Source organism: Homo sapiens, chromosome X, assembly GCF_000001405.40.
Source record: "Homo sapiens chromosome X, GRCh38.p14 Primary Assembly".
NCBI lineage: Eukaryota > Metazoa > Chordata > Mammalia > Primates > Hominidae > Homo > Homo sapiens.
In genome coordinates, this window is record NC_000023.11 from 94,288,604 (window position 1) to 94,304,377 (window position 15,774).

The following is a 15,774-nucleotide window of genomic DNA, read 5'->3' on the forward strand; positions in this document are numbered from 1 at the left end:
AGAGTACAGTACTTTTAACCAGCCTGCCTTATTAAGAGAGGGAATATATCACATAAATAACAATGAGAAATACCAAAGACTAAAAGATTGTCCCTAAAATCTGATAGTGCTATTTAATAATCCAGACCAGGCTGAAACGAGGACTAAGGAAAAGGCAATGCAAATAGAGATATATGTACTTACTTACATTTTTTTGCTTCTATGTATTTGAGAACATTAGGTTTAATAACACCTCCAAAGTCTCAAATAAACTCACAACCAAGATATTACAAGACTTACAATAGAAAATAAGGAAAATATATTTTTTGGCAATTGAAAGCCCAGAGTTAGCACTTTCTTCACTGTGTTCATTATTATTTTGAGTATAGTTGATGTAGAGAAGGAGTAGATTCAAAGATTTAGAATTACAATAAAACCTCTCAAATTCTAATTGTTGGGTTTGGAGACCTTGGATTTTTAAAAGAATGTGTTTATTATAATGCATCCTCAGAAATGGGAATGGCTTGAGATTGACAGAAGCTGCATGCAAGAAAATGTAGAACACTTAGAGGGAGTGTCATCCTTTAAATTTACACAAAAAAGCATCTCTTTGTGTAAGGGGATTTACCAAGATCTCATTAGGTCTTCCTCAAAGTAAATACATCTTACATTTAAATGAGATGTTAACGAGGGTTTGAATTATCAGGCATACAAACAAAGTAGTTTACTAAACCAGAGTTTCAGATAAGCAATCATCATATACATGAATTTGCATTATACTTTCAAGTTCATATAACAATTTAAGTAAGTTCTTTTTGTTGCTTACAAATAGAGGCTTTGTTGTAATTAATAGATAGAACTTATACATGATTTAAAAAATGCATCTGCTTTTGGGCTTTTTTTTTTTTTTGGTAATAGAATGAATACCTTAAACTGTTATTTTTAATTGGTTGGTCATGAACTGTAATACTGCATATTGTGTAAGTAGGTTTGAGAAAACTTTTCTGAATGACATGCAATTTAATATAGTAATTAAGAATACTGGCTCTGAAGTCAGACTTCCAGGGTTCAAATTCTGGGTCCTAGTCTCACTAATATTAGGTATATTTCTTCTCTGTGTTTCTGTTTATTCACTTGATATAGGAACTTTAACACAGAATATTGCTGTGACATTGAATTAATTCATAGTTCTTAAAACACTTCCTGGCATATAATAAACGATCAATCAATGTTGCTGGGTATTATCTATTTATGTAGTAGAACAAAGAATGACTTCATCCCGTGTCAGAGCATGCAGTGTCACATGTATTATAACATGAAGATCACGTTAATTTGGTTTTCCTGTATATATATTATTCTATTTAACTGTGACAATATCACATATGAGGTAGTTACTACTATTATTCTCATTGTACAGATAAATAAACTGAGGTTCACAGAGATTACTTAAAAATTGCCCAAAATCACACATAATAAAGGGTAGTGCCAGAATTTAAACCCAGAAGTTCAACTCCAGAGGTCACCCTCTTAACCGCTTCGTTTTAATAATAGCTGTCATTAATATTATCAATGTGTCCTCATACTATAAGCTGAAACATTAAATAGCCATTGTCTTGGTTGCTATTCCTCAGCCTTCTCTTAGTGACTTGACAATATGAATGACAGTTCTATTCCGATAATGAAGGCTTAAGGAATTTCATTACATACTGTTAAAATATATATCTATCTAGGCATTTTATTAAAATAGACGATGTCAAAGCATAAAGTGTACTTCTTGGAAGTTGGCAGTGAGCTTTAGTTGAGAACTTTTACTCTAATCCAATTTATTTCATCGGCCATGACTGACAGTCCTCTGAGCCCAAGCTAAGCCATCATATCCCGTGATCTGCCCGTATACATCCAGATGGCCTGAAGCAACTGAAGATCCACAAAAGAAGTGAAAATAGCCTTAACTGATGATATTCCACTATTGTGATTTATTTCTGCTGATCAATGTACTTTGTAATCTCCCCCACCCTTAAGAAGTTTCTTTGTAATCTCCCCCACCTTTAAGAAGGTTCTCTGTAATTCTCCCCACCTTTGAGAATGTACTTTGTGAGATCCACCCCCTGCCCACAAAACATTGCTCCTAACTCCACCAACTATCCCAAAACCTATAAGAACTAATGATAATCCCACCACCCTTTGCTGACTCTCTTTTCAGACTCAGCCCGCCTGAACCCAGGTGAAATAAACAGCCTTGTTGCTCACACAAAGCTTGTTTGGTGGTTTCTTCACACGGACGTGCGTGACAGAGACCACTGAATTTTCAACAAATTATTAAACCACAAAAATATTTAACTTTTTCTTCCCACCCTTAGGTGTCTTGTCCTTAGAGGTGGCTAATTGTTGTCTGAAATAGTTTTGCCAATATAGCTACAGAATTTATGTAAGCATAACACTTGTTGAAAAGAGAAATTACTCTCTAATACTCTCCCCAAAGACTCCCCTCTTTTTGTTGTCATTCACGGCTCCACCATTTTTTTAGTAACCCTAACCTGAAACCTCGGAGTCACATTACTTCTCTCTTTTTATCATCTCCTATATCGCTTTTATCATGTACTATAGTTTCTACTACCTTAAATTTTTTCATTGTATGTTTACAAAAGCTGGAGCCAAGCAGATACATTGAAATGGAATTCAGTTGGGTCAGAAAATGTTTGCAAACATTTGGAATTCAAGGGTGTGAAATTCCAAGTGTAGTTAGAAGAAAGACTTGGTGATATGTAGACTTAAGGTGATTTCTTCGAGCATTTTGCATATCCTTGTATTCAATCCCTTATAAAAAGGCATAGGTTTTTGGAGTCCCATATAAAATAGAAGAACTCACCTGCCAAATCTTGAGCTTTTTCCATATATTTCTAATATTAGTATCAGACAACAATAATCTCTGATATTTAGAATGTAAATGTTTCTGAGAGTAGTTATTCCTGTCTTCTCCTAAGAGAGGTGAGAATCAACTGGTGAGAGAGAGCCTCAAAAATTATTTTGCACAGTTTCCCCATTATTCTAGGCAGAATATATTCCACCCATCAGGAAAATGGCTGGTTATCCTATGGTGATGGATATCTTATAGTCTTATGGGTAAGACTATACTTACACACTACAAAATCACGAGAAGCTTTCATTCTCTGTCTCCAGTTACACTCTCACTGTGTATTATTGTTTAGATTAGTGGTTTTCAAACTGTTCTGTGAGGACAAGACCAATCGGGCTCTGTAGAGGTGCTTAAGCAGTTGGGGTTGAACTTGATTTTCTTTAGGAAACATGTTACATTATTTACATTGTCCTCTTTTTTCTACATGGAAAACAAAGTATCAATTCCTTAATCATGTTATTTGTTAAGGCATTTAATTTTTCTTTGGTAATCTTAATCTTCAATCATTCATTTATGCATTCAGTATAAATTTACTTGGTGTTTATCTTGCAGATTCTGTGCAAAAAAAAAACTAGGGGTACAAAAAAAATAAGATTAGAACTTGTCTTCAAAAGAACAAGGTCATAGAAGCCAATAACCATGCTTGTTGACTCATCTCTGGAATCTTCGAAAGTTAACTAGGCATTTAATAAATGTGTTTTATTGCCATAGTATTGCCAACTAGGCAAGAGGCATGAATATTCCGTTTTGGTGGAAATTTCTTATTTACATAAATGCCCAGAAATAGGTTCTGTATTTAGTTCTCTATTTCTTTTATATATGTGTTTTTATTAAACTAATATCTAGGATAAATTATTTCTCCCTACAGATTAAATTCCTATCCTAATACATATGCTTCTAATCATAAGCTTATGTGGAAATGAGACACACTGTTCTACACAGTTGCCACTCCCATATCTGTGGGTTCAGCATTCATGGATTCAATCAACCATGAATAGAAGATTTTCTAAATAAAATTGTGTCTATACTGAAAAAAAATGTTTTAAATGTACCCTCTTCTTTCCAGTCCCATTACAACTACTCTATTTCACGTGTTCTTTATCTCCTGGCTAACTGCATTATTGATTTAGCTTGCATGCTGGCCCTTCTGTTTGGATTCTCTGTCAATTGACTTTACCCATTATTTGTAGATTAATGAACCCAAAATGCACTTTTAAAACATTTCTTCACCATTACATGCAAAACAAAACTTTCCATGACTTCTCATATTCTTCTCAATCATTACATACTTCTAACTTTGGCATTCAAAATCTCACAGAAAAGTGGTCTTGGTGTACATTCAATAATCGATTTCTACCAAATTGTATTACATTATATTGCTGATCATTCACCATGCTTTTTCCTCGATGTGAAATGTCCCTCTGTATTTCTACATGCCAATTGCCAATACATCCTTCAAAATTCATTCGAAATTCAACAGCCATGAAATTTTTCTATTCCCATAACTTAATATCATTTCTCTATTTTCTGAATCTTAGTAGCATACATTATGTAAACAGTTTATTGCACTCATTATACTTAGTGAAATAGTCATTTCTATTTTTATCTTTATGTCCTTTTTACAAATTGTTCAGGGAATATTTGTTAAATTGAGTCAGTCTCAAACATTAGGCAAAGATCACTAACTTCTTACAAGCAGCCATTTGTACACGCTATGCAGGGAAGGTTTAGCAGCACTTGGATGTTTACTTTTAATGTGGTTATACAAACATTGACATTCATTTAAAGAATTAATATATCTTTGAAATTTATAGTCTATAATTATGGTAGATTATATCTCTGATAATGCTGTAAGTATATATACAGATGTATGTAGATAATTTAATTATTATACATCTAGATAAACCAACCAATGCCATCTTATTTAGAACTTAGTAAAATTCTAATATATCTGTTTTCAAAGTCTTAATTATGGCATTTCCCCCAATGAAAAAATATATGCATATTTGTACAAAAATTTGAAATGAGGTATGCAATACACTTCACTTTATAATGGGTTGCTTTGGAAGAAAAAAGGTAAAGAGAATGACAGCAAAAAAAGGAATAAAAGCCACCATTTACTACTATGGAAAACTCTAGAAATCTAACTGACATGTAGTATTGATCACATAAAAATTATAGGTTGTTAACTTTTATCAATAAGGTACTCTCTTCAGCTTTTAGTTGAGAATGTTTCCTGCTCAACAGATTTTTTAAATTTAATCCATGAGCTTTACCTACTAATTGTTTTTGCAGTTTGATTATAATCTGCAGAACCACCTCTGAGATTCCTTCACTGCAATGTCAATCATCAGCCTGTCCCTAGGAGCAATAGTAGACTGAGCTTGATTGGCTTTACAAGCTGTGCCTAATTACTGGTCTCTCGTCTGAACCTTTTTCAGTTGTTATACATTCCTGACCGAGGCCAAAGAGGCCTGAAGACATATATTTTATGTTAACTAAAAAAAAAAAAAAAAAGAAAACACTAAATTTTAATCAGAAGCAGGAATATCAATAACCATACAAAGATGATACTGCAACAATCATCATAGAAGATGTTCAGCTACAGGAATCAAAGGCTTTTTCAAGAGAAAAAGCGCTATACGATTTAAAAAAAATACAAGACAACAAAGTTCACTAAAAATCTGTTTTAGGTTGGGATCTTAACTAGAGAGATGATTTAGTACATATATATATAACCAACATTGTGCACCTTTTTCTTAATGAAACAAGGATCTCTTTTCTCATAAAGGACTTGTGTTCCACAATGTTTTTAAATTCAAATTTGACTGCAACTCAGAAATTCATTCATGTGGAAATATAATTCACAATTAATGTGGTGTAGTTCTATTTGTGAACCTCATTGCTCTCTCATTCTATTGAAGGATTATTTGGCTTTAATATACTCTCTCAAGAAGGTAGCTGTAAAATTAAATTAAGTCAAGCCATCTGGGACCTGTGATATAAACTGAAGAGAATAATATTCTAAGAATCTTATAATGTTCATATAAGTTGTTGCATAGTAAGCGACATCCTCTGGATGTGCACAGAAGTCATATGGAATATAGAAAAACAGCTATACAGTTATTTATTAAAGCTGCTACAATTTATGAGAGAGGAGCACTCAAGAATTTTACACTATTTAAATCATTGAATTTTCTACTCGTCTACATAGTGACTTCAGATATGGTGATCAAGTTTAGAAGATATCAAAGCAAAATAACTTATTTCAACTTAATTTATTTTGAGAAATTAACAAAAGTTAAAAAAGACAGTGCATGTAAGTGACCATGTTTTTATTAACCAAATATATTCTTCTTGTAGGTGCGCTAATAACCTTATTTGGCTGAAAACAATGTTGCAGAATAATTGAATGTTTTATTCTATCCAAGTACATAATAAAATAATAAAGGACTATTACTTACTCTTTTATGAAAAATACCTAATCTTTGTGTTATAAAACTTGCAGGTATATTATATCATATTTAGTTGTCTTTCTAATAAGTAGTATATGTATAAGTTTCAGATCATGAATTTGAACATGTGTATCTTTTGCACTAGAATTCTATTTGCCTGGCCAAATTCAGTGAAACATAAAATTCACTTGAGATTGGACTGATATAGTCCTTATAGTTCTGTTTAAGGAAAACATTAAATTGGGATCACCAAGTTAATCAACCACTGACAATGAAGATAAAAGTACCATATTTATTCAATCCCAATTCAACAAAAATGTGAAACAGTATAACGAAGCTCATTTAACTCAAAACCCTCTGCATGAAATTAAAGACAAATGTACTTACATCTATTTTGAACAGGAGACACAAATTAAATACTGCATATGATCCGTCTTTATTATCTTTGTGTTTATTTAACAAAAATTCTACCAGAATAATAGCAGATCCACCCATGTTCCCCTAATAATCTTATCTATTTTGTCATATTTCTAATATCTACTTCACCTTGTGGTCTTACATTGAACAAATAAAAAATAGTCATGTCTTCTTTCAAATATAAAAAGCATCCCACTGGAAATGATTTGAGTTCTCCTTATAACAGGCCAACGGTCTCAAGAAATGGAGAGAAGGAGGAAAAAAATTACAAGTAGAAGAAAAAATATACGCAAAAGTACAATAGCAGAAAATTATGACATAACATGCACTCATTCATCTCTGAGCCTTTGACTGGGGCACTTTTTCTATCTGCGCCACCCTAGTTTTTATTAAACTGGAAAAGTTTTACTCATCCTTAGGTCTTAATTTGGAGGTCACTCATTGGGAAGTATTGTTCCTATCATTGGTCTTGTGGAGGTTTTGATCCCACTGTTCATGAAGACATTATCGTGCTAATGCTCTTTGCCCTAAGAAGTATAATCTATATATATTCATAATGAATATTACTGGTACTATCAATCCATATTAAATAAAATTTGTAATGGGTAAAATTGTTATTTTTGCATGTTAAGTTTATTATTATACTAAATTTATTACAAATATGAACTAAAAAACCTTCAAATATTGTTCATGAAAAATTAAACTTGGTATAAATAAAGACTGGAAACCACCAATGAAGGCTGATACTTCACATGGTTTAACTGGACTAGATAAACAATGTATCAAGCTCTTAACATGGCTAAATGGCTATTCTTGAAATTAATTTCCTATTAAAAATTCATGACCAGATATAGTGGCTCACACCTATAATCCAAGCACTCTGAGAGACTAAGGCAAGAGAATTGCTTGAGCCCACGAGTTGGAGAACAGCCTGTGCAACAAAATGGGATCCCATCTCTACAAAAAATCAAACATGGGGGGCATGGTGGTCCACACTTATGGTACCAGCTACATGGAAGGTTGAGGCAGGAGGATCACTTGAGCCCAGGAGGTCAAAGCTGCAGTGAGCCGTGTGTGCAACACTGCACTCCAACATGAGTGACAAAATGAGACTCTTTATCAAAAGTAGAAATATTTATGTTAATGTGGCTTTGAAAAAATAAATTTATAAATTTGAAGTCAAAATATTTATATTTTAAAACAATAAGGTCTAAAAACCTATCAAATTGAAATATGGTAGGATCAAACCTTTTATATCTCCACCTCTGTGTTCCAATAATGCACTTAAAACTTTTTTTTCAATTTTCTATTTCCATAGGTTTTGAGGAACAAGTGGTGTTTTGTTACATGAATAAGTTCTTTAGTGATGATTTGTGAGATTTTAGTGCACCCCTCACCCAAGCAGTATACACTGTACCCAACTGATAGTTTTTAATCCCTCACCCCCCTCCCACCCTTTCCATTGGGTCCCCAAAGTCCATTGTATCATTCTTATGCCTTTGTATCCTCATAGCTTAGCTCCCACTTATGATTGAGAACAATGTTTGGTTTTCCATTCTTGAGTTACTTCACTTAGAATAATGGCCTCCAATTCCCGCCAGGTCACTGCAAATGCCATTATTTTGTTCCTTTTTATGATGGAGTGGGATTCCATGGTATATACATACCACAGTTTCTTTCTTTATTTATCTACTCATTGATTGACAGGCATTTGGGCTGGTTCCACATTTTTGCAATTGTGAATTGTGTTACTATAAACACATGTGTGCAAGTATTTTTTTCGAATAATGACGTTTTTTCCTCTGGGTAGATATACAGTAGTAGGGTTGCTGGATCAAATGGTAGTTCTACTTTTAGTTCTTTAAGGAATCTCCACAATGTTTTCTGTAGCGGTTGTAATAGTTTACATTCCCACCAGCAGTGTAGAAGTGTTCCCTTTACACCAAATCCCTGCCAATATCTTTTTTTAAAAAAATTTTTGGTTATGGCCATTCTTGCAGGAGTAAGGTGGTATCGTACTCTGGTTTTGATTTGCATTTTCCTGATCATTATTGATATTAAGCATTTTTTCATGTTCATTGGACATTTGTATACTTCTTTTGAAAATTGCTTATTCATGTCCTTAGCCCTCCTTTTGATGGGATTGTTTTTTTCTTGCTAATTTGTTTGAGCTCCTTGCAGATTCTGGACATTAGTCTTTTGTCGTATGTACAGACTGGGAAGATTTTCTCCCACTCTGTGGGGTTGTCTTATTTACTCGGCTGATTGTTTATTTTGCTGTGCAGAATATTTTTAGTTTAATTAAGTCTCATCTATTTATTTTTGTTTTTGTTGAATTTTATTTTGGGTTCTTGGTCATAAAGTCTTTGCCTAAACCAATGTTTAGAAGGGTTTTTCTGATGTTATCTTCTAGAGCTTTTATAGTTTCAGGTCTTAGATTGAAGTCCTTGATGCATCTTGAGTTGAGTTTTGTATAAGGTGATAATGAGGATCCGATTTCATTCTTCTACATGTGGCCTACCATTTATCCTAGCACAATTTGTTGAATAAGGTGTCCTTTCTCCACTTTATGTTTTTGTTTGCTTTGTCAAACATCAGTTGGCTGTAAGTATTTGGCTTTATTTGTAGGTTCTCTATTATATTCTATTGATCTATGTGCCTATTTTTACACCAGTACCATGCTGTTTTGGTGAGCTATACTTATAGTATAAGTTTTAAGTATAAGTAAAGTATAAGCTATACTTACAGTATAGTTAGAGGTTGGGTAATGTCATGCCTCCAGATTTGTGCTTTTTGCTTAGTCCTGCTTTGGCTATGCAGTCTCTCTTTTGGTTCCACATGAATTTTAGGATTGTTTTTTCTAGTTGTGTGAAAAGTGATGGTAGTATTTTGATGGAAATTGCATTGAATTTGTAGATTGCTTTTGGCAGTATGTTCATTTTTACAATATTAATTCTACCCATCCATGAGCATGGTAATTGTTTCCATTTCCTTGTGTCATTCGTGATTTCTTTCAGCAGTATTTTGTAGTTTCCTTTACAAAGGTCTTTCACCTCCTTGGTTGGTTATATTCCTAGGAATTTTTTTTATTTTGACTTTTTGCAGCTATTGTGAAAGGGGTTGAGTTCTTGATTTGATTCTCAGCTTGGTCGTTGTTGATGTATAGCAGAGCTACTCATTTGTGTACATTAATTTTGTATCCTGAAACTTTGCTGAATTTATTCACCAGTTCTCAGAGCTTTTTAAATGAGTCTTTAGGGTTTTCTAGGTATACAATAATATCATCAGCAAATGGTGACTATTTGAATTCCTCTTCACTGATTTGGGTGTCCTTTATTTCTTCTTCTTGTCTGATTGCTTTGGCTAGAACTTCCAGTACTACATTGAATAGAAGTGGTGAGAATGGGCTTTCTTGTCTTATTCCAGTTCTCAGGGGGAATGCTTTTAACTTTCTCCTGTTTAGTATTATGTTGGCTGTGGGTTTGTCATAGATGGCTTTTATTACATTTAGGTATGTTCCATCTATGTTGACTTTGGTGAGGGTTTTAATTCTAAAGGGATGTTTGATTTTGTCAAATGCTTTTTCTACATCTATTGAGATGATCATGTGATTTTTGTTTTTAATTTTGTTTATGTGGTGTATCACATCAACTGACTTGCGTATGTTAAACCATCCCTGTTATGAAACCCACTTGATCATGGTGGATTATCTTTCTGATATGCTGATAGATTCAGTTAGCTAGTATTTTGTTAAGAATTTTTGCATCTGTATTCATCAGGACTATTGGAGTGTAGTTTTCTTTTTCTCTTCTTGTTTTTTTTTTTTTTTTGGTTATATACTTTCCTGGTTTTGGTATCCAGGTGATACTGGCTTCATAGAATGATTTAGGGAGGATTCCCTCTTTCTGTACCTTGTGGAATATTGTCAATAGAATTGGTACAAATTCTTCTTTGTATGTCTGATAGAATTTAGCTGTTAATCCATCTGGTCCTGGACTTTTTTGTTGGAAATTTTTAAATTACCATTTCAATCTTGCTGCTTGTTATCGGTTTGTTCAGAGATTCTACATCTTCCTTATTTAATCTATGAGGGTTGTATGTTTCCAGGAATTTATCCATCTCCTCTAGGTTTTCTAGTTTATGTACATGAAGGTGTTCATAGTAACCTTCAATAATCTTATGTATTTCTGTGGTATTAGTAATAATATCTCCTGTTTTATTTCTAACTGAAGTTATTTGGATCTTCTCTCTTTCCTTGATTAATCTTGCTAATGGTCTATCAATTTTATTTATCTTTTCAAAGAATCAACTTTTTGTTCCCTTTATCTTTTATATTTTCTTTGCTTCAATTTATTTATTTCTATTCTGATCTTTGTTATTTCTTTTCTTCTGCTGGTTTGAGTTTGGTTTGTTCTTGTTTCTTCAGTTTCACGAGGTATGACCTCAGATCTATTTGTGATTTTGCACACTTTTTGATGTAGGCATTTGATGCTCTAAACTTTTCCCTTAGCATTGCTTTTGCTGCATCCCAGAGGTTTTGATAGGTTGTGTCACTACTATCATTCAGTTAAAAAAGTTTTTAAATGTACATCTTGATTTCACTGTTGACCCAAAGAACATTCTGGTGCAGGTTATTTAATTTCCAGGTATTTGCTTGGTTTTGATGATTCTTTTTGGAATTGATTTCCAATTTTATTGCACTGTGGTCTGAGAGAATACTTGATATAATTTTTGTTTATTTATTTTTAATTTGCTGAAACTTGTTTTGTGGACTATCATATGGTCTATTGAATGTATCATGTGCTGATGAATAAAGTGTATATTCTGCAGTTTTGGGTAGAATGTTTCATACACATCTGTTAAGTCTATTTGTTCTACAGTATAATTTCAGTTCACTGTTCCTTTGTTGACTTTCTGTCTTGATGACCTGTCTGGTGCTGTCAGTGAAGTACTGAAGTCTCCTACTATTACTGTGTATCTGTCTATCTCATTTCTTAGGTCTAATAGTAATTGTTTTATAAATTTTGGACTTCCAGTGTTAGGTGCATACATATTTAGAATTGTGATATTTTCTTGTTGGACTAGTCCTTTTATCATTATATAATGTCTCTCTTTGTCTTTCTTAACTGCTGCCTGTTTTAAAGTTTGTTTTGTCTGATATAATAATTGCTACTTCTGCTTGCTTTTGGTGTCCATTTGCATGGAATATCATTTTCCACCTCTTTAAGTTTATGTGAGTTGTTATGTATTAGGTGAGTCTCTTGAAGACAGAAGATACTTGGTTGGTGAATTCTTATCCATTCTGTTATTGTGTATCTTTTAAGTGGAGCATTTAGGCCATTTAAATTCAACATTAATATTGAAATGTAAAGTACCATTCTCTTTGTCATGCTATTTGTTGCCTGAATACCTTGCTGCTTTTTTATTTCCTTATTGTCTTTCTGTTTTATTGGTCCTGTGATATTTATGTTTTAAAGAGATTCTATTTTTGTGTATTTTGAGAATTTGTTTCAAGATTTAGAGATCCTTTTAGCAGTTCTCGTAGTGCTGGTTTCATAGCAGTGAATTCTCTCAGCATTTGTTTGTCTAAAAAAGACTGTGTCTTGCCTTCATTTATGAAGCTTAGTTTCAATGGATGCAAAATTCTTGGCTGATAATTGTTTTGTTTAAGGAGGCTGAAGATAGCGCCCCAATCTCTTCTAGCTTGTAGGGTTTCTGCTGATAAATCTGCTGCTAATCTGATAAGTTTCTTTTGTAAGTTACCTGGTGGTTTTGCCTCACAGCTCTTAAGATTCTTTTCTTCATCTTGAATTTATACAATCTGATTACTCTGTCCCTAGGTGATGATGTATTTGAGATAAATTTTCCAGGTGTTATTTGAGTTTCTTGTATTTGGATGTCTAGATCTCTAGCAAGGCCAGGGAAGTTTTCCTCAATTATTCCCTCAAATATGTTTTCCAAACTTTTAGATTTCTCTTCTTCCTCAGAACACTGGTTATTCTTAGGTTTGGTTGTTTAACATAGTCCCAAACTTCTTGGAGGCTTTGTTTATTTTTTAAACTCTTTTTTTCTTTGTCTTTGTTGGATTGGGTGATATTGGAAACCTTGTCTTTGAGCTCTGAAGTTCCTTCTTCTGCTTATTCAATTCTATTGCTGAGACTTTCTAGTGCATTTTGTATTTCTCTAAGTGTGTTCCTTATTTCTAGTAGTTGTGATTGTTTTTTTATTTACGCTATCTATTCTACTGAAGATTTTTCCCTTTGTATCTTGTATCTTTTTTTTTTATTTCATCAAGTTGGGCTTCACCCTTCTCTTATGCCTCCTTGATTAGCTTACTAATTGACCTTCTGAAATCTTTTTCTGGCAATTCAGGGATTTCTTCTTGATTTCAGTCCATTGCTGGAGAGTTAGTGTGATCTTTTGGGGCTGTTAAAAAACTTTTTTTGGTCATATTACCAGAATTCTTTTTCTGATTCTTTTTCATTTGGGTATAGACTATGTCACAGGGAAGATCTGGGACTCAAGGGCTGCTGTTCAGATTTTTTTTTCCCCTGGGGTGCTTCCTTGATGTAGTGATTTCACTCTTTTCCTTGGGATGTGGTTTCCTGAGAGCTTAACTGTAGTGATTGTTATTTCTTTTCTGGATCTAGCCACCCAGTGGAGCTACCAAGTTTCAGGCTTGTACTAGGGGGTGTCTACACAGTATCCTGTGATGTGAACTGTCTTCAGGTTTCTCAGCCACGAATAGCAGCACCTGTTCTGATGGAGGTGGTAGGGGAGTGAAATTGACTCTCTGAGGGTCCTTAGTTGTAGTTTTGTTTATTGCACTAGTTTTGTGCTGGTTGGCATCCTTCCAGGATATTGTGCTTTCAAAAGAGCATCAGCTGTGGTAGCATAGGGATAATCAGGCTATGGGTGAGGTCCTAGAGCTCCCAGGAGAATATGTTCTTTGCCTTTGGCTACCAGGGTTGGTAAAGAAAGACCATCAGGTAGGGGCAGGGTTAGGCATATGTAAGCCCAGACTCTCTTTGGGCAGTGCTTGTTGCAGCTGCTTTGGGGGATAAGGGTGTGGTTCTCAGGCCAATGGATTTATGTACCCAGGGGGACTATAGCTGCCTCATTGTGTCATGCAGGTCACCAGGAAAATAGGGGAAAGTTAGCAGTTACAGCCCTCACCCAGCTGTCACGCAGACAAAAAGACTGGTCTCACTCCTATTTTGCCTGCTCCAACAGCTCTAAGTTTGTTTCCAGGCAGTGGGTGAGCAGAACTGAAAACTTGCCCCAGGCTACCAGCCTCCAAGCTGTGAAAGCAAGCAGGGCTTGGCTTCTGTGCTATGTCTGCATACCAGACTGAGTTTTGTCCAGGATACTATGTTTGGTCAAAATTGTTACAAAGTTCAATTGGAAGTTTTCTTTCTGTGTGGTCTTTTTCCAGTTCCTCCGGCAGCCCTCCTATAGGACTTCTGCAAGACAAAGTCAGAAATGGCATCCCTGGGGACTGAGAGAGCCCACATGTCTCTTCTCACTGATTCTTCTACCCCTGTATTTCACTGAGTTCTCCTAAATTGTCTCAGCTCCAAATAAGGCCAAATCTGGACCTTCAGGCTCCCCCGTGAGGGTGTGTGTTCATGCGCACATGATACTCCTTTCACACTTTTATACTTTGGGCACTCACTGTCTCTAAGGCCCTGCAGGAGCAATCTGCTTCCGTCAAAGGATCCGTGGATTCTCTCGGCTTTCCTTGTATGTTCCTGTGGTATTTATGGGAGAAAAAGTTCATGATGTGAGTCTCCACAGGCTGCTCTGTCCATCTGAGTGGGAGCTGCAATGTAGTCCTGCCTTCTATCTGCCATTTTCCCCAATAATGTACTTTACTGCTCCATGTTAGAGTTTTTTATATGATACTATAATTGCTTGTTTATCTTCATATTACACTAAAATATAAGCTTTTCAAAGGGAGAAACATTGTCATCTTTTTCTCTCACTATATCCTCAGTATTCTAGCAAAGTACCTAGCACATAACAATCACTATGTAAATATTTTCTAAATGAATTACATAATAATTAAAGGAAAGTTAATTGAATATTTGGAGAAAGACAAAAAAGTCAAGAGAGCTCAAGTGTAATGTGTATAAGTGCATTGGAATAAAGAGGTCATGAGTGGGAAGAAGTGTACTGGGGAACAAGATTCAAAAGGGAGTTGGTAAGATGCAGTGGGGCTTGACTATCTTTCTTAGGAATTTGAAATTAATTTTACATGCATAAAGAAACTTCTGAATTTTGTTTTATTTCTTAAGAAGAGAGAAATTTCCCACCACATGAATCTGAAAAAAAAAAAAAGAAAAAGGAAAAAAAGGAGGAAATGAGAAAAACACGTTCAAAGTGATTATAGTAGTGTGTTAAGTGTGTTAGGCCATTTTTGAATCACTATAAAAATACCTGCGGCTGGGTAATTTATTTTTTAAAAAGAGGTTTAACTGACTCAAAGTTCTGCAGACAGTACAAGAAGCATGGTGCTGGCATCAGCTACTGGTGGAGACCTCAATAAGCTTCTAATTATGGCAGAAAGTGAAGGGGTAGCAAGCATCTCACATGTGAGAGAGGGAAAAAGAGAGAAAGGGGGTGGTGCCACACACTTTTGAATAACCAGATCTAGTGAAAACTCACTATTGTGAGAGCAGCACCTCACTATACATGTGTGATCCACTCCCATGATCCAAACACCTCCCACCAGGCCCTACCTCCAACACTGTGGATTACATTTCAACATGAAATTTGGAGGGCACAAATATCCAAAGCATATCATACTGACCCTGGTCCCCCAAATCTCATGTTCTTCACATTTTGCAAAATACAATCACTTCTTCTCAATAGTCCTCCAATGTCCTAACTTGTTTCAGCCCAAACTCAAAACTCCCAAAGTCAAAACTCTCATCTGAGATCCAAGTTCCTTCTACCTATTACCATGTAAGATCAAAAATAATTATTTACAAGATACAATGGTGG

General features: G+C 34.6%; 1 annotated feature.

Annotated features, from left to right (window-relative positions):
* Positions 249–907: an enhancer, noted in NCBI's record as "NANOG hESC enhancer chrX:93543851-93544509 (GRCh37/hg19 assembly coordinates)". NCBI's record gives its function as "activates a minimal SCP1, AML or CMV promoter by ChIP-STARR-seq in naive H9 embryonic stem cells {active_cell/tissue: H9 hESC(naive)}" and the evidence as "EXISTENCE:reporter gene assay evidence [ECO:0000049][PMID:30033119]".